The sequence below is a fragment of the Homo sapiens genome, chromosome 2, assembly GCF_000001405.40.
Source record: "Homo sapiens chromosome 2, GRCh38.p14 Primary Assembly".
Classification (NCBI taxonomy): Eukaryota; Metazoa; Chordata; class Mammalia; order Primates; family Hominidae; genus Homo; species Homo sapiens.
The window spans coordinates 240,806,475-240,826,981 of record NC_000002.12 but is presented as its reverse complement, the minus strand read 5'-3'; the positions used below and the strand labels follow the sequence as shown (position 1 = coordinate 240,826,981).

The 20,507-nt window shown below is 53.2% G+C and overlaps 1 protein-coding gene across 28 annotated transcripts in view, besides 3 other annotated features; it reads left to right on the top strand.

The window, feature by feature from the left end:
* KIF1A (kinesin family member 1A) overlaps positions 5,579-20,507 on the top strand; it is a 107,637-nt gene continuing 92,708 nt past the window's right edge. For 22 of the 28 annotated variants that reach the window (NM_001379640.1, NM_001379641.1, NM_004321.8 and 19 more), the window contains exon 1: positions 6,763-6,860. The gene's annotated coding sequence lies outside the window, so the exon portion shown is untranslated. Of the gene's footprint in view, positions 5,643-5,942; positions 6,067-6,762; positions 6,861-7,704; positions 7,877-20,507 lie in introns of those variants that run through there. The other 6 variants (NM_001379650.1, NM_001379645.1, NM_001379635.1 and 3 more) reach the window with 3 other exon arrangements.
* Positions 5,777-6,351: an enhancer, noted in NCBI's record as "H3K4me1 hESC enhancer chr2:241760048-241760622 (GRCh37/hg19 assembly coordinates)". NCBI's record gives its function as "activates a minimal SCP1, AML or CMV promoter by ChIP-STARR-seq in primed H9 embryonic stem cells {active_cell/tissue: H9 hESC(primed)}" and the evidence as "EXISTENCE:reporter gene assay evidence [ECO:0000049][PMID:30033119]".
* Positions 9,708-10,347: an enhancer, noted in NCBI's record as "H3K4me1 hESC enhancer chr2:241756052-241756691 (GRCh37/hg19 assembly coordinates)". NCBI's record gives its function as "activates a minimal SCP1, AML or CMV promoter by ChIP-STARR-seq in naive H9 embryonic stem cells {active_cell/tissue: H9 hESC(naive)}" and the evidence as "EXISTENCE:reporter gene assay evidence [ECO:0000049][PMID:30033119]".
* Positions 14,639-15,249: an enhancer, noted in NCBI's record as "H3K4me1 hESC enhancer chr2:241751150-241751760 (GRCh37/hg19 assembly coordinates)". NCBI's record gives its function as "activates a minimal SCP1, AML or CMV promoter by ChIP-STARR-seq in primed H9 embryonic stem cells {active_cell/tissue: H9 hESC(primed)}" and the evidence as "EXISTENCE:reporter gene assay evidence [ECO:0000049][PMID:30033119]".

The window sequence follows — 20,507 nt, the reverse complement described above, 5'->3', positions numbered from 1 at the left end:
GCTGAGGGGGTGGGGCTGAAAGTTCCAAGATTTTAATTATGGCTTAATCTTTCTGGTGACCAGCCTCCATCCTGAAGCTATCCAAGAACCCACCAAGAGTCACTTAATTAGAACAAAAGACGTTCCTATCCCCCGGGAAAGCCCGAAGGATTTAGGAGCTCTCTGTCATGACCTGAGGTCCTGGAATCAAATATTTGGTCTGGGACGCAAATATCAAAACAAAGGATGGTCCTAGCACCCCATCACTTAGGAAATTACAAGCATTTTAGGAATGCAGTGTCAGAAACTGAGGGCAAAGACCAAATATGTATTTATGTCACGTATTTTCTTCTCTTTTTTAATTGCATAGGCGGATACTTCTAAATGCAACGGAGGTGAGAATGCACATCCTTCATTGTAATGAGGCTTTCTCTGTTGTTTCACCAGGTCAGCTATCGTTTATATAGGGCTTATGGTGTGTCCAGCCCTCGTCTCAGCATTTTACACATTAATTCATCGAATCCTTACCACTGCTGTATGAGGTTGGCACAGCTTTTATTCCAGCTGCAGAAGAGGTCATGGGCACAGAGGGCTAATGAACTTGCCCAGAGTCATGCAACTGATAGGCGTGAAGCTGCCCTGGGCTGCCCTGGGCTGCCCCTTGGCTGGACTCATCCACCAAGACCCTGCAGGGCTGCTCCCTCCTCAGGTGAAGGAAGAAGCCACGTTTCCCTAAAGGGTGTGGTTGTTTTCTTTTTAACTAGAAATAGATGGCTTCTTGGTCAAATGCCTTTTCAACATTGATTAAAATCACCCCATTTTTTTAATCCTATAACTTCCTAAAATGAATGATTATATTCATGCCATCTCTAATACTGTACCACACTTGTATTTTCGAGAAGAATTTAGCCATGTTACAGGATCATTCTAATGTACTACTGAATTCTATCTGGCTGTGTTATGTAACTTTTGTATTCATATTGCTGCAAAATTGGTTTGTGGTCTTCCATTTTGGGATCTCTCCACCAGGTTTTGGCATCAGTGTTATGCTGGCTTCACAACAAGAATTTCATCAGTCTCCTCCTTTTCATAGCTATGGGTCACTTTAAGTAATAGGAGAGCAGTCTAGATTTTTTAAGCTTAAAAGTCTGAAATTACCTGGGCCCAGGCCCGCAAGGTGGCTGCTTTTTGAAAACTTCTTCCATGTTAGTGATTTATTTGGGGGTGGGCAAAGCCTGCTTCTCAACAAGAGGTCAGCAGGCAGGGCCCCGGGGCGACCAGCATTCCTGGACTATGCCACTCCTACCCTTGGCCACTTGGACAGCTTGCAGCCTCTGGGTGTGTGCAGAGAGGGCAGTGGCGGGTGGGTCCTCAGTGCAGTTGTGGGGGCACTAATGTGAGAAAGTCTTGATCTAGTCTGTTGGAGGGTGGGGTTCAGAGTGTTGGTCCTGTCCTGCATCCCTGAACTCTGACCTCAGGAAGTGGGAACTGAGCAGGGATAGCAGAGGCAAGCCCCACAGCTTGTCACATGCTGATCTGCGTTTAATTTTTCTGTTTAGAAGTGGAGAAATGATCGAGTGTTCAAAGAAAAACAATGAGATTGACAGAAGGGAAAGGAGGAAGAGGAGGAGGGAAGATGAAGTGGGGGGAGAGAGAGAGAGGAGGGGAAAAGAAAGGGATGAAATCGACAGCCTCCACCACTGGGTCTGTGAGCTGCATCAGAGCAGGTGGCCCCGCACTCTTGGCTTGATGCTCTGCTGTCGCTGGCCCAAGATCCTTAATAATTTCATCTTTTGTGTTTTGTGTTGCCGATGGCATATTGAGGCAGGTGCAGAGGAGACGCACAAATCTCTGCCTGCTCCTGCAGCCCCATCCTGATCTAGTGTTCACAGTGCCATGGTATGGAGTTCAGCAAGACTCACTCCAGTGCCAGGTAGAGCAGGTCATGCCTGCAGCCCAGTGGGCGTGGCATGAGACAGCCCAGAAAGGCCACGTTTTCCATTTCAACCAGAACTTGTTCCAAATACAGAAAGGGGGCAATGGTGTTCTAAGGAACACAAAGGACATGGGACCCCTGTTGTATCTTTTCTTACTCATTTTACTTCCCTGTATTAGCCGAGCACTTTCACTGAAATGGTGGCATGGAAGGAAAGGGAAAGACAGGAAGACCCAGAGTTCTCCTTTTATCCCTCCTTCCTCATCAGTAAGCGGGAGGCAGAGAATGTTGGTGCCAGCATCAAGAAGTGAAATAGAAGCAGGCAAGTGAGTAGTGTGCATGGTTTTCATTGTTCTGGTAAGAACAGAAAACACACACAGATGAACTAGGAAATATGAGCTGTGTAATTTCAGTGATTCGGTGTATGAGTTGAAAGCTCTTCTATCTGCATTTAAAACTGGCATTCTACGATAGAAAGCTGAAGAGTAAAATTCATGCTAGCAATTTAAAATTTTAATTTTCTTTACTTAGAATGGCATTAAATAGCAAGAAAACACCATGGCTAATCAAGAGAGCCTGGGGAATGGAGGAAGAGGTTTGTATATTTAGCACCTTTAACTGCACTTTGCCAGGCTTTTGAACAAGGCGGCTTTATTTCATTTTGCACTGGGCCCCGCATGTTCTGTTACTGGGCCTTTTCCCACTGGAAAAATAGATGAGGTCTGTGAAGTGGGTGGAGGCTGCAGCCAGGGCAAGGGGGACGGGCAGGAGAGACACAGTTTAGTCCTGCTCTCCTGCCCGTCTTGGGATGGCCTGGACCACAGGAAGCCATCACGGGGACTGTTAGGGAGCTGCGAGGTCCTCCTGGGTGGGACGGCCCTGGAGACAACAGAGAGCTGTCCAGAGAGCCTCCTCTCAGATGCTACAGCATGATGCAGCACAAGGTAGGGAAGTGGCTCCTCTGTGGGCTCTGGGGAGGGAGGCAGCAAGGAGTGGTGATCAGTTTCAGGAAGGAGCCTGCACTCCAGGCCTTCCCTGTATGGGCCTGGCTTCTGTGCCTCCCCACTGCAGGCTGCCAGTAGAGCAGCTGCTGTCCCGACACCACTGGGCGCTCACAGGCCAGAGTCACTCGACGCCCAAGGAATATGGCCAGCTGGAGAGAAAAACATGCTCCCCGGGGATCCATGTCAGTCCATGTCTCTGTGGCATTAGAGGAGGGGCGAGTGGTGATTGGGAGTAAGCCCATGCAGGATAGAGGGGAGGGAGCAGGTGCAGGCAGAAGAGCTTCAGATCCTGAGGCAGGTCTGAGGCCTGCAAAAGAGACAGGGAAGGAAGGGGCTTGGGTAGGAAGAGTCTCAGACTGCAGTCCCCCTCCCAGAAGCTTTCGGCCAAGCTGATGGGTGTCCCTGATAAAGCTGCCCGTCGGAGGGGTCTTGAGTGGGACGGAGGGGCCAGCACTGGTATCTCAGACTCTGTCTTTGATGAGGAGCAGTCAGGGAACAGGCAGCAAAGCTTAGTCTTGATATAACAGTAATTGCTGTAAATGTAAGTGGGTTAAATTCCAATTAAAAGGCAGAGACAGATTACATTTAAAAATTTACACAATGGGTTGCCTAAAAGAGATACGCTTTAAAAAGATACAAAAAGCTTAAAATAAGAAAGTTGGCAAAAGACATAGCAAGCAAATATGAACCAAAGAAAACTGGATTGACATGTAATGTATGACATTCAAATTTAAGGCAAAAAATTTAAAAACTCCAAACGCCAGACAAAGAAGGGCACACATACATATGGGCGCAAGGAGCCACAGAATGATAATGCATGTCTATCACAATCATTCTAATATCTAAAAATATGGCCACAATACACAGCAAGCAACATGTGCCGGAACTGCTGGGAGAAGCAGATATTTTAACAATTCTAACTGGAAATTTTAAAAAATAATAAGCATAGTTCACATTGACAAAAATTAGCAGAAATCTCCAAATCCTGATCAAAATGATTAATAACCTTAAAAAGCTTTTCTATCTGGGATCTTACCTTACTGAGTCAAGAATTAATAATTTTGAACTAATACATAATATAGAGAACTCTCTGCCCATCAAGCAGAGAGTACAACCATTTTGAACACAGGTAGAACATGTATGAAATAGACTATGTGTTAGGACCTAAAGAAGCCTCAATGAATTCCAGAGGCACAGGGCCATGCAGACTGGGCAGCTAGTTTCTGTTTGTGCTTCTAAGTTCCCTTTGCCCATTCTTCAGGAGACCACCCGAAATGCACCATACTCCTTGGGTGCCCCTGACCTCCAGCTTCCCCTTGGGTTCAGCCAAAGCACTACCAGATCAGGGGAAGAGGGAGAGTGAGGTCCAGGGTTTGCTGCCCTGGCTCCCTTCCTAGGAAACTCTGGCTGGCTGCACCCCTCCACCTGAGCCTCTGCTTCTGCCCGCCCCGCTCCCTGCAGGCAGTAAGGCTGCAGTGCCACCAAGCCCCTGGGGCTCTCCGACCTCCTGCCCACACCTTTATCAATAGTCTCTTTATCAAACCCTTCTCAAATTACCCAATTTGAGTGTGCCATCTGCTTCCTGCCAGGATCTTGACTGAATACAGACTTGTTCTCTGACAACAATGCAATTAAATTAGAACCTGGTAACAAAAGGTTATAATTAAAGAAACACTATTGAAAAGTAAATAACATTATTAAATAACCCTGGGTTTAAAAGGAGATCATCAGGAACAGTAGAAAATATTAGATATGAATGATAATGAAAACATTTTATGTCCAAATTTGTGAGACTCAGCCAAGACAGTTCTGTAGAAGGAATTTTGTAGCTTTTAATACAGTAGATCTATTGGAAAATCAGAAGGCTTAAAAAGGAGCTAAGCATTTGGTTCAAGACAGAGGAACAGATCAAATCCAAAGAACCACAAAGGAAGGAAATAATACAGAAAGACAGAAGCAAATGAAATAACGGGAAAGACGTTTAACAGAACTAAAAGTTGGAGCTCTGAAAATATTTAAAAATATTAAAAGAGAAAAATGCAAAAAACAAAATACAGGCCAAATGCATGCCAGTAATCCCAGCACTTTGGGATGCCGAGGTGGGTGGATGGCTTGACCTCAGGAGTTTGAGACCAGCCTGTGCAACAGGGCAAAATCCTGTCTCTACAAAAAATGCTAAAATTAGCTGGGCGTGGTGGCACACACTTGTAGTTCCAGCTACTAGGGAGGCTGAGGTGGGAGGATTGCTTGAGCTGGGGAGGCTGAGGCTGCAGTGAGCCAAGATGGCACCACTGTACTCCAACCTGGGAGACAGAGCAAGACCCTGTCAAAACAAACAAACAAAACCATAAAAAGCCAGAATATAAAGAAAAAAAGATATGCTAGTCATTTAAATATTAACGTGAAATAGATTAATTCCTAGAAAAATGTCTATTGCCTCGAGAAATAGAGAACTTGCCAGATTAAAAAGCATGAGGAAAACGGAGGTGATAAAGACCCCAGCCCCAGAAGCCCAGATGGTTTTATTGTTTCTGCCAGGGTTAGGAAGAACAATTGATTTCTCTTTCATGCCGGCGGTTCCAGGAAATAGTGAAGGAGGAGGAGCTGTCTAGCTGGTTTCGGCGGGGCTGGGGCTGGGAGTGGGGGGCCCGTGTCTTGCAGAAGTGGATGTGAATCTCCCCCAGCCACCTGCAAGGCGCTCGCACGCAGCTGTCGGGACTGAGGTGAAGCCGGCTCTCCCAGGAGTGTGGATGAAATGGTTAACGGCGAGGCCGCTAGGGCAGCGCAGGCCCCTGCTGGGCGCCAGGGAGGCTTAGCCAGGCGACGCCAGGATGCCCATGGCAGGGGCTCGATGGCAGGGGCTGGGCTGGAGGGGACCCAGCCCCGGGGTTCAGGGTGGCCCGAAATCCGTGCACCCCCGCACCGCAGTGCGGGGAGGTTCCCATGGGCGAGCTGCCCAGAGGCTTTGTCGAAGTTGCCCAGCCCTGGGACGGTGGAGGGAGGACGGTGGCGCGCACAGAGATACCAGTCAGCCCCTGGAACTAGGAAGGCGGCTGGGGGCGGGTGACGCAGGCTGGGGTTTGCCGGGGTGGCCCCCGAGCGGCGTGTGACTTGGGGGTCCAAGGAAGTTAAACTGGACAGGCTGGGGTGAGGACAATGGGGGCCTGGAGAGGTGGGGCGAGAGGAGGGCGGGGGGTCCCCACGAGCCGCGGTAGAGGCGAGGCGGCGGGTCCGCGGGCGGGTTGCATCATCCGGCGGGGAGGGCCTGGGTCACTGCTGCTCTTCCCCCGGCGCCCCGGCCCCGACACAAGATGCGATTTCACCGCGCACCTGTTACACCCGGAGCCAGCATCCCTGGCGCAAGGAGCCCTCCCTCCCCAGCCCCGCCCGCCCCCCACGATGCGTCTGTCGCTGGCTCAGAGCGGGGGCAGGTGGACGTTTTACGATTTCACTCGAAAGGGGCCAGGGTGGGGGACGGCCCGGCGAGGGGTCCGCGGGCAAGTTCAGGTGCACGCGGGGCTTCGGGACGGGGCGCCGCCGGGTCCCTCCCCCGCGAGGTCTCAGGGGCACGCCGGGGGAGGGGACGCTGCGTCCGAGCCGGGTGTCGGTCCCCCACCCTCCGCGGGGCCCGCCGCGGTGTCAGCGGTGACGTCACAGCCCGGCCCCGGCCCCCTCCGTCCCCAGCCCCATCCCCGCGGCGGCCGCGTCGCCCGTCCCTCTCCCCGCGCGACAAACCAGCTGGCGACTGGAGCTCGGACGCCGCGCGCAGCCAACCAGCGCCTCGGGAGGGGCGCGGGGCGGTCCGGGCCGGGGGCGCGCAGCCCGTCACGCGGCGGCGCCGTCACAGCGCAGAGCAGCCGGCGAGCGGCAGCAGCTCCGGGCTCGAGAGCCCGCGCCCATGCCAGTGCCCATGCGGGGCCGCCGCCAGTGACGCCGGAGAGGTAAGGCCGCCGCCCGCCCGGCCTCCCGCGCCCGCGCCCCTCGCCCCGCACCTGCGCCCGGCAGCCCGCGCCCGCAGCCCGCACCTGCACCCACTGCGCCCAGGGCGGGGAGCTCCGGCCCGGCGCCCTTGTTGCCGCCCAAAGCGCAGGCACTGCGAGGCCCCTTCACTTCCAGACCTTCCTCCATCTCCGCAGAGAACAATGGGGGAAATTCAGGGGTGTCCGCCCTTCAGGTGCCGCTGGAAAAGGTCCCTTTGCCGCGATCTCGGCTGCAGCGGGACCCTCGGCTTAGGCGGGCGGGGGTCGCCCTCGGGAGGGCTCGCCCGGCCGGCGGGATCGGGATACCCCCGCCCTTCCCCGGCTATTCCGCTTCCCTGGAGAGGAGCCACCGGCGGGGCTGCGGGAGGGGCTGCGCCCAGACGGCGGGGGAGGGGAGGGATGGTGAGCGGGGCTGAGGACGCTGACGCCGCACCTGGGAGGGTGCGCGGCTGCAGCGCCTCGGCCCGAGGGGAGAGCGCGCAGGGCGGCCGGGCGCGGGCAGCTGCTCCGGTTCCCGGGGTGGGGGAGGGCGGATGCTGGAGCCGGGAGCAAAACAGGCGGGCGGGGCGGGGGCTGCGGCGTTGGGGCCTGGCCACCCGCTTCGTTGCACGGCCGGCCTGCCCATCACCCCCTCCCACGCCAGAGACCCCAGCTCCCTTCCAGAAAGACCCAGCACCTGGGAGGGGCCGCCGGCGAGCACTGCCTGCGTCTCAGCAGCCAGCGCCCCTGTAACAGGTGTGGCCCGGCGGCGAGGGAGGGGCTGCGGGGCCGCAGGGTCTAGGCTGGCGGCGCGCCCCCGGCGCCCGGGCTCGGATGACACGAAGGAACAGTGGCCGCGAAGACCTTCGCACTCCCGCTTTAAGCCGCTCCTCACGCTGACTTCCCCCAAACCAGCCGCGCTGCCCTCTCGCTGGGAAGGGCCGGGGCAGCATCCCCGCCGGGAGGGAGGGTCCGCAGGAGCGGGGCGCTGGGCGCCGGTAGGTGGGGTTGGGGGGGCCCTGCCGGCCGCAGGGGCGGGAGGGGGAGGGGAAGGAGGGAATGCCAAGTCATGGGGCCTGCTGGGCGCGAGCGCGACGTCGCCCGGCGCGGACCCGATGCGCGCCCACGTCCCCGGGAATAGGGACTTTCCCCCAGAGACTGGAGGACCCCTTCCCCAAGCGTCAGCCCTTTCCAAGGGGTGCCTGCATTGCTGGAATTAAAGGCCTGCCAGGGCAAGCGGATTGGATCTTGCGGCTGCGGAGAGGAGGCGGTGCGGAGAGGCCCCTGCCTCGCAGGGCTGGCACTGGCCTCACCCTGGGGACGCACAGCGCGACACCGTGCTCGGCTCTGCGGGACACCAGGTCGCACTCAGGCTGGCGGGGCCTTTGCCAGGGAAGCCATGCCAGCACCCTCGTGGTGTGAGAAGGCAGCAGAGGGTTTGAAGGGAAGCTCTGGGGTCCACGTGGGGGTTGGGGCTGCACCTGCGGCGGCCATTTTGCAGGTGTGGTTGGCCACCAGCCTTAGCCAGGCTGTGGAGTGGGGCAGTCAGGAGTGGGGCAGTCAGGAGTGGAGCAGATGTGGAGCTTGCGGTGCAGGGTGTGGGATGGGCCAGGGCCAGGGCTCAGGTCTGCCCTTGCACTGAACACACACCGTCTATTTAGAGGGGTTCCTTGTTTGGTTGATGGGGTGGTTGGAGTCAAGACCCAGGAACCCTCTGGACCGGAGGGATGAGGAGGGATGCGGTAAGGCCGCTGGCTGAGGGGCCCAGCGTGGGATCGGAGGAGGGCAGCCTTTACCCGGGGTGAAGTCTCGGGAGGGTGCTGGGTCCAAGGCAGGGCCCGGATGAACAGCTTCACTCCGGCTGCAGATGGATCTGAGGCCCTGCAGGTGTCCTCCCCGGGCAGGTCCGCAGGGTGGACAGAGGCTGGAATCAGTTGTCAAGGCAGGGGTCCCGGGCCGGGCCCAGGGAGGTCCCTGTGGTGAGGGCCTGCAAGATGTCTGCTGTGTGCCAGCCCTGCTCCCAGCCGGGTGCTGCCCCCCTGGGTGCCTCCTTTCCCCCTTCCCCACTGGAATGTCCCACAGACTGCCCCATCTGGGGCTCCAGCCGGCCAGCCACAAACAGGTGGAGCCTGGAGTTCTGCCCAAAGCCCAGGGATGATGCTTGGCTGGATCAGGATTAAAACTGGGGTCACTGCCCGGCCGCCCAGCCTGTGCCCCGCAGTCCTCACTGATGTCATGACTGCTGACCTTGGGCCCACCATGCCCTTTGGGAGTAGGGTAGGGCAGTCCTCCTGTGGGATTTGTGAAGGGTGGAGGGGGAGATGTGAGCTGGAGGAGGAGGCCCTGGAGGAGACTGAGGGCATCTCTTCAGGCCACTCAGCCGGGCCGGCCAAAGCAGGTGAACTGGGTGTGGTGGGGACGGGAAGGGAGACGTTCCCACAGAGCCCTGGTCCTACCAGATTGGGGTCTATGGAGGGGCTACCAGCATTAGGTCATTGGGATTTACTGAGCCCTGCACATGCCTAGCTGGCCAATCCCGTCAGGCCTGAGACCATCCGTGCACATCTATCAGTGAGCTGGGAGGGGCCTGAGCCGCTACCACGGGTGGAGAGTGGTGGGCCTGGGTCTCTGGGTGGCTGTGATTGGTAGGATGAGCACGTGGTTGTCTGCCTGCAGAGTCTGGGGACCTCTCTAGGTCATTGCCACATTCAGTGTTCTTAGGCCCAAAGGATGTGGCTCACCACCCACAATATGGGTGGCCAAAGGGACTCAAGGTGTCACCTCCCACTGCCCATCACCCACTCCATGCCCAGGAGCGTCTCTGAGAACCATGGGGGGCTGGGCCACACCCTGCCCCGAACCTGTCCATGGGTGGCCAGGGTACCCAGGGACACAGCCAGGCAGCGTTGGGCCTGCGTCCTTGCCGGCTTCTGCCCCTTAGGTGGTGGCCTCCGGCCATAGGCCCATCCCTGCTACAGGAGGGTTTGGGATCCCAGAGCTTTGCATCCCAGTCCTTTGGCATGGCACCTGGGCAGAGGCAGGGGCACAGTGGCCCCACCTGACGAAGCCAGCTTGCTCTTTAGCTCCTGAGCCCCACTGGGATCCCCACCCTCAGCCTGGCTGGCCTCTCGCCACCCCAGTGCCCCCACCCCCAGGGCCTCAAGAACCCAGGGAACAGCTGGCTGGGCTTGGCCCACGTGCTGCAGTTGGGGGTGCTGTGGGGCAGAGGGCACAGTCAAGGTCAGCAGCAGGTGGAGACTGAGCCTCCTGACCTCTCCTGCTCCTTGCCAGCCCATCCTGCCAGCTTTGGCCTCCTGCAGGCCTAGTGCATTGTAGAGATTGATCCGGATGTGTGGATATGGGACTTGGATGTGGGACTCAGAGGCTGGGGTTGCCGGAATGAGTAGGAGGGGCTGCTGCCTCTCTAAAGCCTCCTCACCCTGGATTTAATCTCCTAATCCCAGGCCTTGTGGTCTGGGCAGGCCCAGCCCTGGCTGCCACAGAGCCTGGGGATTCAGATGACCTTTGGGGGTCCCTCCTGCTTGCCATCCCTGCCAGATTTCAGGACGCCTTGGGGTATAGGGAGGGCAGGCCAGTGCCTGGCTCTCCAGGCATCCTCGTGCTTATTCCTCACCCCTCCCCACAGTGCCCTGGAGGGGTCCAGAGCAGTCACCCGGCCACACACACTCATAGTCACATGCATCCACTCGAACACACACAGATCCACATGCATATACACATACACACACATTGCACACACACTGACACACACATGCACGCACACCCACCCATGCATACATTCACACACACAGACACTCATACACACACATGCATGCTCATGCACACTCACATACCCACACATACATTCACATACAAACACACATACACACATGCTTATGCACGCATGCATACACACATGCATGCATGCAGATAGACACACACACACACACACACTCTGCATCCCTTGTCCCTGTCTTTGTTCTTGCCTGGGTTTCTTCTCAATACTTTCTACTCAACCTCCACATTAGGTTTTAGGTCCCCCTCAAATGCTGCCTCTGCCATGATGCCTGCTGTCACCCCTACCCCTCAGATTGGCACCCCCTCCACAACCATAGGTTTCCAGGGGTGGGGAAGAAGACAGAGAACACTGGTCATAGCCTGCACTGTGCACCTCATGTGCTTCCCTTTATCCCATGCCACTCCACACCTGAACAATGAGAACAGCACCGCTTGGCTCGGACCCCACTGAGCCAGGTGGTGGTGTTCCCATTTTCCAGGTATGGAGACTGAGGCTCCTGAGAAGCCCATGTGGCTTGTAAAGTGAGGACCTGGGACTCCGAGGATGGTAGCTCCTTTAGTGCTTTCTGCTCATCCCTCCACTTTCTCCTCCACCCCCATTACCCCCCACTTCTCCCACCCCCACGGGGGCCAGCACGGTGCCTCACACAGAGTGAAGACTCAGTCAGTGCTCTTCCATGGCTGAGCCGGTTGTTCTAGCCCAGGTACCGCATTTTCTGGTAGAGTCCAGGTTGAGCTTTGGCCACCCTCTCAGGGGTTGGGGTGTCTTTGGGTCTCAGTGTCTCTTGTTCAGAACCTATGGATTCCTGAGCCTGGCTTAGGAATGACAGGCACCCCCTTCCCTCTGGGCCTCCCGTGGGGCTCCTGAAATGCAGCTCTAGGGACAGGCATGGCCCCGGACTGCTCCTGCAGGGCCCCTTCCCTGAGGCTGGTAGTGCCAGGAATGCCCTCAAGGGGTTCCTGCCCCCACCTCAGCCCTGCCAGAAAGGCCCACCTGAGGGTGGGCCTCAGTTTCCTTCTCCATCTGTCATCAGCTCAAGCCAGGATGGTGCAGGACAGGGCTGGGCAGTCAATGCTCAAGGTCATGGGTCGGTGTGGCTCCTGAGGAGCTGCTGTGGGGCTGGGGTGGGACTGTACTCAGTTGCTTGGTGTCATCTGGTCCCCACTCTCCTGCTTCTGGGGCCAGGGCCCCACCATGGGTGCAGGTCCTTGGGGCCTGGGAGGGCTGCAGCTCTAGGACAAGTAGTGGCTGCAGTGGGCTAGGCGCAGACCAGAGGAGCACGCTTACGGCCCCACACCCTTTGCGTCAGCTCTGTACTTAGGCAAGATGTTCTTGGTTGGTGTTTTATTTTCTCCAGCTCTTGGTTATCTTTATTTTATTTCATTTTAGAGACAGGGTCTCACTCTGTCACCCAGGTTGGAGTGCAGTGGTGCAGTCACAGCTCACCACAGCCTCAACCTCCTGGGTTCAAGTGATCCTCCTATCTCAGCCTCCTGAATAGCTGGGACTATGGGCATGTATCACCACACCTGGCTAATTTTTTGTAGACGGGGTTTTGCCATGTTGCCCAGGCAAGTCTTGAATTCCTGGGCTTAAGCAATCCTCCTGCCTCGGCCCCACAAAGTGCTGGGATTTTAGGTATGAGCCACCGCGCCCAGCCTTTTTATTTTCTTGAATGAGTTTTTTCCCTTTTATCGCACCTCCAGAAGTGGCCTCTGGCAGCTGCTTGCCATGTCCCCTGGATTGGAGTTTCTGTTTCTTGGACCCTAGAGCTGCTTGTTTCTTGGTTTCCTGTCTTGTTTTGCTGGAGCACATCCTTGTGTGACTTCCTTGAAAGGGTGCATGAGTCTTTGGTGTGTGAGAGTGTTTTTGCTGTGTCCTTGCTCTGGGTGGTAGTGTCTGGGGTACTTCTGTTCCTAAGTAGCTTTCCTGGGAACTCTAAGGATAGGGTCACCATGGCTTTCTGCATCAGGTCACTTATGAGCAGGCTTTGTTGGCAACTCGTCTTTTCTCCCTGGAAGCTTTTAGGATCCTGTCTTTTCCTTGGTGTTCTAACTTCATGTCGACGGGTGTAAGGATGGGGTTCGCATTTATTGGCACTCGGTGGGCCCTTCACACTGAAGTCAGGGTCTCTACTTCTATTTGTTCGTAATTTCCTCCTTTTCATTTTTTCTTTTACCCTGAATTCATGGGTTGGTCTGTTTGGTTGCTTTTCTCTTGTATATTCTGTCTCCTTGTTTATATTCTAAAGTCCTTTGACTGCCTTTTCTAGGGTTTTTGGAATCTTGTACTTCATCTCTTACATTTTTCATCTCTAAAATCTTCACGTTTCTAAATGTTCTGTCTCATAGCATTCTGCCCTTGTTTTGAAAATGAGCATCTTCTTGAATCTCCCGGGTGCGTGGACAGAGGTTGTGCTCGGTTGTTTCGCGTCTGTTCCATGCTTTGCCTGTCCTTCCCGCAGGGCCTGTTTTCTGCTGGCAGCTCTGGTCCTTCCCTTTCACACTCTGTTCTCACGCCCGAGGAAGGCATTAGTTGGCACATCATGTGTTAGGGAGGCCATTGGCGGGAGCGGCAGGGCTGCTGCTGCTCACCCCGGAGTGGTTCTGACCAGAGCTGGGGTGGGGTGTCCATGGGGGGTGGGGTGTCCATGGCAGGCCCTGGCTTAGGTGAAGGGGTGGGGCTGGCTACCAAGCTGCCCCTGCATATCAGAATGAGGGGTACTGCATTCTTCAGCTCACTGAAGGCTTCACTCCTGCTATGGAGAAAGCCATTCAGCTGCTCACCTGGGGGCACTGGCAGTGACCACCCTCGGAGGGTGGATGGCGGGGCTGGGGGTGCGGGCTTCCATGTTAGCCTCACTTCTCACCCCTGCCTTCCACCAGGTGCCTGAGTTCCCATGCCTGAGCCCCTGCCCCTTCCCTGCCCTCTGCAAGCGGCACTCAGGGCTGAGGTCCCAGGAAACGCCTCTCCCACGCCCTTTGCAGTTGGGGGCTGTGTGGTGGGCTCTGGCCCTATCCCATGGGGTCTCAGAGCAACCAGTGTGCCTGCAGTCATTGGACCTGGGGCTCCTTACTCTCCAGGGGTGGCCAGGACACTCCTCTATGACAATCGGTTGTAATTCTAAGAAAAACCTGCTGTGGTTTTTTTCTCAAACTCTTCAAGAAGGATCAGTGTTTCAGGAAGTGGCCCATGCCGATGCTTTGTTCTGGGCTGGCCCTGCTGGGTGTGCACATGGCGGGCCACTTGTCTAACTGGGAGCAAGTGGATCCTTGAGGTGAAGGCAGATCCCCGAGGTGAAGGCGGATCCCCGAGGTGAAGGCGGATCCCCGAGGTGAAGGTGGATCCTTGAGGTGAAGGCGGATCCCCGAGGTGAAGGCTGATCCCCGAGGTGAAGGCGGATCCCCGAGGTGAAGGCGGATCCCCGAGTGAAGGCTGATCCCCGAGGTGAAGGCAGATCCCCGAGGTGAAGGCTGATCCCTGAGGTGAAGGTGGATCTTGAGGTGAAGGCGGACCCAGAGGTGAAGGCAGATCCCAAGGTGAAGGCGGATCCCCGAGGTGAAGGCGGATCCCTGAGGTGAAGGCTGATCCCTGCCTGAGGTGAAGGTGGATCTCGAGGTGAAGGCTGATCCCTGAGGTGAAGGTGGATCTTGAGGTGAAGGCGGACCCAGAGGTGAAGGCAGATCCCGAGGTGAAGGCAGATCCTGAGGTGAAGGCAGATCCCTGAGGTGAATGTGGATCCCGAGGTGAAGGCAGATGTCTGAGGTGAAGGTGGATCCCCAGGTGAAGGTGGATCCCCAAGGTGAAGGCAGATCCCGAGGTAAAGGCGGGCCCCTGAGGTGAAGGCAGACCCAGAGGTGAAGGGCGTCTGGGCTCCAGGCGGATGCCTGTGCGATGCTCTGCAGCATGGGCCTCTCCAGCAGCTGGGCAGGGAGTGCCTGTGCCAGGCCTGTGTCTGGCCCTCACCGTCACCCCATGCCTGGTCTTTCCTGGACACTCCTCGAGCTGAGGCACGCTTTGTCATCTGCCTTGGTGCCACCCCCAGCCCCCTTCCACAGGGACTTGGCTTTTTCTGCTGATGCCCCCACCCCAGGGTGAGGCAGGAACCTGAAATGGTCCCAGAGCCCCAAAGCAACAGGGGAGTTCCTCCGGGGCCACCCTGCCCTCTGTGCCTGCAGTGACTTGCGGGGCGTGGCCCGGTGCGCCCAGTGGGTTTTCTGCATGCATTTTTACCAAGTGAATGGATTCTGTTCCCCTCTCCTCTGTCCTGGGGCCCCTGGCTCAGGGCTCATGGTCTCCCTTTCCTGGAGTCATCACAGCCGGCTGGCCATACCCACATACCCACATGGATGGCCACCATCCCCCAGCCCTCTTTCCCTCTCCTGCCCTCGGGCCATCTTCTCTGCCCACTTCCTGTGGGTGCATCCTGGGTCTAGTCAGAGCCTCAGACACCCGTGGTGTTGCCTCTATGTCCCCAGCGCAGACCCCACCCTGCCACCACCAGCTTCTCGGCATCTTCTTTGGCTCTGAGCAGTCATCCCAACCCCTCTGGCTTCCTCCCTGCCACCCTTGAGCCTGTGCCCTCATCTCTGGCCACTCCAGCCAGCGTGACCTCACCCCACAGGACCAGTTCATGCTTCTTGTTTCTGATGACTTCCTGCCCCACCTGTCCCAGAGGTGCCCCTCTCTGTCTTTGAGGGGAGCTCACCCTTTCTCCTGGGCTCTGGCATGTGCTGTGTCTGGCACTGTGGACCGCAACCCCCCGCCTTCTCAGGGGTTCAGCTGTGTCAGACCCCCATCCTCAGCTTTGCCTTCTGCCATCAGCCACGCCCATAGGCTCTGGCCACCCTTGGGGCCACGTGGCTCCCTCTCAGGTTGGCTGACAGAACAACTTCTTGAAGATAGTTTCTTTTCTTTTCTTTTCTTCTTTTCTTTTTTTTGAGATGGAGTCTCACGCTGTAGCCCAGGCTGGAGTGCAGTGGCGCAATCTCTACTCACTGCAACCTCTGCTTCCCGGGTTCAAGTGATTCTCCTACCTCAGCCTCCCAAGTAGCTGGGATTATGGGTGCCTGCCACCACGCTGAGCTAATTTTTGTATTTTTAGTAGAGACAGGGTTTCAACATGTTACAAGCCAGGGTGGCCACTAACTCCTGACCTCAAGTGATCTGCCCACCTCGGCCTCCCAAAGTGCTGGGATTACAGGCACGAGCCACTGCACGCGGCCAATAGTTACATCTTTAAAAATTGTGTCATGTGGTAGCAAAAATATACAACAAGGAATACAGAATATTACAACCAACGGCCACATGCCCACATTAGCTTTCAAAATAAGGCATTTCCAACCTGCTCCCCAAGGGTAGCACTGGCAGAGGGCTCACCACCACCCGGCATCTCGGCCGACCCACATCACCCTGGGGAGGAAGACGGACAGATGGGGCCTGGCGGGAAGGAGGTCCTTCCACGTCACCATGGCGGGCACATCGAGTGGCCTTGGTGGCGTCCAGGCCCTTAGACCCCCTCCACGCCCAGCACCATGAATTCGGTGCTGATCGCTCCTGGAGTGTCATCGTCTGCCCTGAGTCTGTGGAGTGCTGCTTGTGTGTTTGAAACTTCGAGGGGCCTGCAGCCGACTCTGCATTCATCTGCATCTTGGATGCTGGGCATTTGGGCTGTCTCCATTCTTTTTGTAATGATAAGTCATTCTGCATTTGGGTGTATTTCTCCCTGTGAATATGTATAGCATCTCTACTTGCAGAGTTGCTGGGGCACAAGGTCTGCAGCCCCTCCAGATGTTACCATGTTATTTTCAAAGTGGTGGCACCCGTTCACTCCCAAGGTGAGCTGTAAAAGCTCCTGTGGCCTCCTTCTGACAGCGTTTGGTGTGCCCTACTTTTAAATGTTGCCATCTGGTGGATACAGTTTGAAAATATGGTTTCCGAATTACTATCGTGGTTGAGTATCTTTTCATGTAAATTGCCAGTTCATATCTTTTTGCCCATTTTCTTCTGTGATTTTTGTAAATTTTTATTTTTATCTGTCCTCTGTGTATTCTGCGTACAAATCCTTCGTTGAATTGTATGTGTTGCAGATACCTTCTCCAGGTGGGTGGGGTTCTCGTCACCGTTTTAGTGATATCTTTTGATACCCAAACTTTCATTTTGGTGTTTTCGGTGGGTTAAGAAATCTTTCCGGCTGGGTGCGGTGGCTCGCACCTGTAATTCCAGCGCTTTGGGAGGCCGAGGTGGGTGGATCACTTGAGGCCAGGAGCTTGAGACTAACCTGGCCAATGTGGCGAAACCCTATCTCTACTGAAAATACAAAAAATAAAAATAAAAATAAAAATAGGTGTGATGGCACATGCCTGTAACCCCAGTTACTTGGGTGACTGAGGCACAAGAAACTCTTTTTTTTTTTTTTATTATACTTTAAGTTCTAGGGTACATGTGCACAACGTGCAGGTTTGTTACAAAGGTATACATGTACCATGTTGATTTGCTGCACCCATCAACTCGTCATTTACATTAGGTATTTCTCTTGAATCCTGGTGGCAGAGGTTGCAGCGAGCCAAGATTGCACCACCGCACTCCAGCCTGGGCGACAGAGTGAGACTCTGTCTCAAAAAAAAAAAAAAAAAATTCCTTCCCTAGGGGTAGCGTGAAGATATAACTCTTCTTTATTTTCTTCCAAAACATTTTTTGTTAACATAGAGGTCTTTAATCCACATGGAATTTATTTGACATATAAAGGGATCTAATGGTGTATTCTCCATATTGCCAACCAGTGTTCCTTCCATCGCTGGTTCGGTCGTCCGTCCTCTCCCCCTTGCTCTGTAAAGCCACCTTTCCCAGATGTCAAAAGGGCTGTGCTTCTGCAGGTCTGTTCCTGGGGTCCCTTCTGTTGCACTCGTGATGGCCTCTTCCTGTCCCAGCACAGCCCGACTTCATGCCAGGGCTTTCTACCAAGGCTCGAGATCATAGGGCGTGTTGCCCTCTGCCCTCTGGTCTTTTTTTTCTTCTTCTTCAGACTTGTTATTGATGTTCTTAACATCTTACTCTACCATATACATTTCTAGAAGCAACTTGTCATGATTCACAAAAGAACTTGAGTTTTCATATGAAATGACATTGAGTTTTTGAATCAATTTGGGTAAAATTAAATGTTTTCAAGATATTGAGATTTATTTTCCACCAATAAGTTATAGTTCTCCATTTATTTAGATTTTCCGCAATGTTTTTAGTAAAGTTCTACAATTTTCTTTATAATAAGTTAGTGACGGCTGGGCGTGGTGGCTTATGCCTCTAATCCCAGCACTTTGGGAGGCTGAGGCGGGCAGATCACGAGGTCAGGAGTTCAAGACCAGCCTGGCCAACACAGTGAAACCCCATCTCTACTAAAAATACAAAAAATTAGCCGGGCGTGGTGGTGGGCGCCTGTAATCCCAACTACTCGGGAGGCTGAGGCAGGAGAATCACTTGAACGCAGGAGGCGGAGGTTGCAGTGAGTCAAGATCGCACCGTTGCACTCCAATCCCAGGCGACGGTGTGAGACTCCATCTCAAAAAAAAAAAGTTAGTGACATTTATTCCTAGGTACTCTATAGTTTGGGTTATTATTTTATTTATTTATTTTTTAGAGAGAAGATCTTGCTCTGTTGCCCAGCCTGGAGTGCAGTGGTGTGATCATTAGCTCACCGCAGCCTCGAACTCCTGAGCTCAAGTGATCCTCCTACCTCAGCCTCCCAAGGAGCTGGTACTACAGATGTTGCCACTACTCCTGGCTAATTAAAAAAAAAAAATTTTTTTTTTTTGTTTTAGAAATGGGTCTTGCTATGTTGCTCAGGCTGGTCTTGAATTCCTGGGCTCAAGCAATCCTTCTACCTCAGCCTCCATGGTAGCTGGGACTACAGGTGTGAGCCACTGTGCCAGGTTGGGTTATTATTTTAAAGGATACCTTAAAATATGTTTTAATTCTTTATCAGGTATATAAGAATGTTCTTGATTTCTACAACCTTATTGAACCTTCCTAATTCAAATATTTTTTCTGTGGATTCTCTTGATTTATGTGTAGATGAGCAAATGGTCTGCAGATAATGACAGTTTGGTTTCTTTCTTTCAAATTCATATTTATGTTGTTTGTTATTTTCCTGTCTTACTGGTTTGGCCAGAACCTCTCCTACAATGTTAAATAGAAGTAGAGATAGCAAGCATCCTGGACTTGTTTCTGAATATAAAGGAAATGTTCCTATCATTTTACCATTAAGTGTGATGTTTGGGTAGGTTTTTAGTAGATAGCTATTATGAGGTTAAAAAAGTTTTCTTTTATTCTAATATTGCTTAGAATTTTATCACAAATGAGTCTTGAAAATTATGGAATGCTTTTTTAGTATCTATTGAGGGCCTCATATTCTTTCTTCTTTAATTTGAAAATTATAATAATAGCTATCCTAATGTCAAGCTATACTGGTATTCCTGGAATATGCTTACCTGCATTGCCCTTTTTATTTGTTACTGTATTTTCTTGCTAATTTTTCAGACTTTTGTACCTATGTTCATCAGTGAAACTGGTCTATAATCTTTCTCAATTTTTTCTTGTTTACTTTGATGCTAAAATTCTATTAGCATCAGTGAATGAGCTAGGAGTACAGTTGGCTCTCGATATCTGTGGGTTCTGCATCTGTGAATTCAACCAGATCAAAATTTTTGGAAAAAAAGAATGGTTTGTCTATACTGAACATGTACAAATGTTTTTCCCTTGTCACTATTACCTGGACAATACAGTATAGCAACTATTTATTAATACATAGCATTCACATTGTATTAGGTATTATAACTAATCTTGAGATGATTTAAAATATATGGAAGGGGCTGGGTGCGGTGGCTCATGCCTGTAATCCCAGCACTTTGGGAGGCCAGCGCGGGCAGATCATCTGAGGTCGGGAGTTCAAGACCAGCCTGACCAACATGGAGAAACCATGTATCTACTAAAAATACAAAATTAGTTGGGCATGGTGGTGCATGCCTAGTGGCGCATACTAGGGAGGCTGAGGCAGGAGAATCGCTTGAACCCGGGAGGCAGAGGTTGCGGTGAGCTGAGATCACACCATTGCACTCCAGCCTGAGCAACAAGAGTGAAACTCTCTCTCTCTCTCTGTGTATATATATATATATATATATACACACACACACACACACACACACACACACACACACACACACACACACACACATATATATGAGGATGTGTAGGTCAAATGCAAATAGTACACCAGCTCATATGAGGGACTTGAGCATCTGTGGATTTTGGTATCTGTGGGGGGTCCTGGAACCAATCTCCTACTGATACTGAGGGACGACTTTATATTCTTTGGGTGTTTCCCTCTCTTTCCTCCATTCTCATAAAGAGTTTGTATAGGACTGATATTATCTTTTAAACAAATGTATGGTGGAACTCACCTATAAGAAGTGTCTGAATCTGCTGCCTTTTTTTGTGGGTAGATTTTTAAACTATTGGATCAATTTCTTTAATAATTGTAGGAAAATTCATGTTTCTATTGCTTATTTTTCTCATAGTTATGCATCACATTTTCCTGGTTCTTGGCAGGTCTAGTAATTTTTGATTGGATGCTAGACATGATTTTTAGTTTTTAGAGAGTCTGACTTCTATTTCTTGCTTTAGTGCATGTTGGGCTTTGTCTTGGCAGGCGCTTAACTTACTTGAAGACCAGTTTGATCAGTCAAGGCCTGTTCTTAAGCTTTTCTAGAGCTGGTCTAGAGTAGACCACCTGCAGGAATAGTTTAGTCCCCCACCTAGGGCATGCCTTCTCCAGGGTC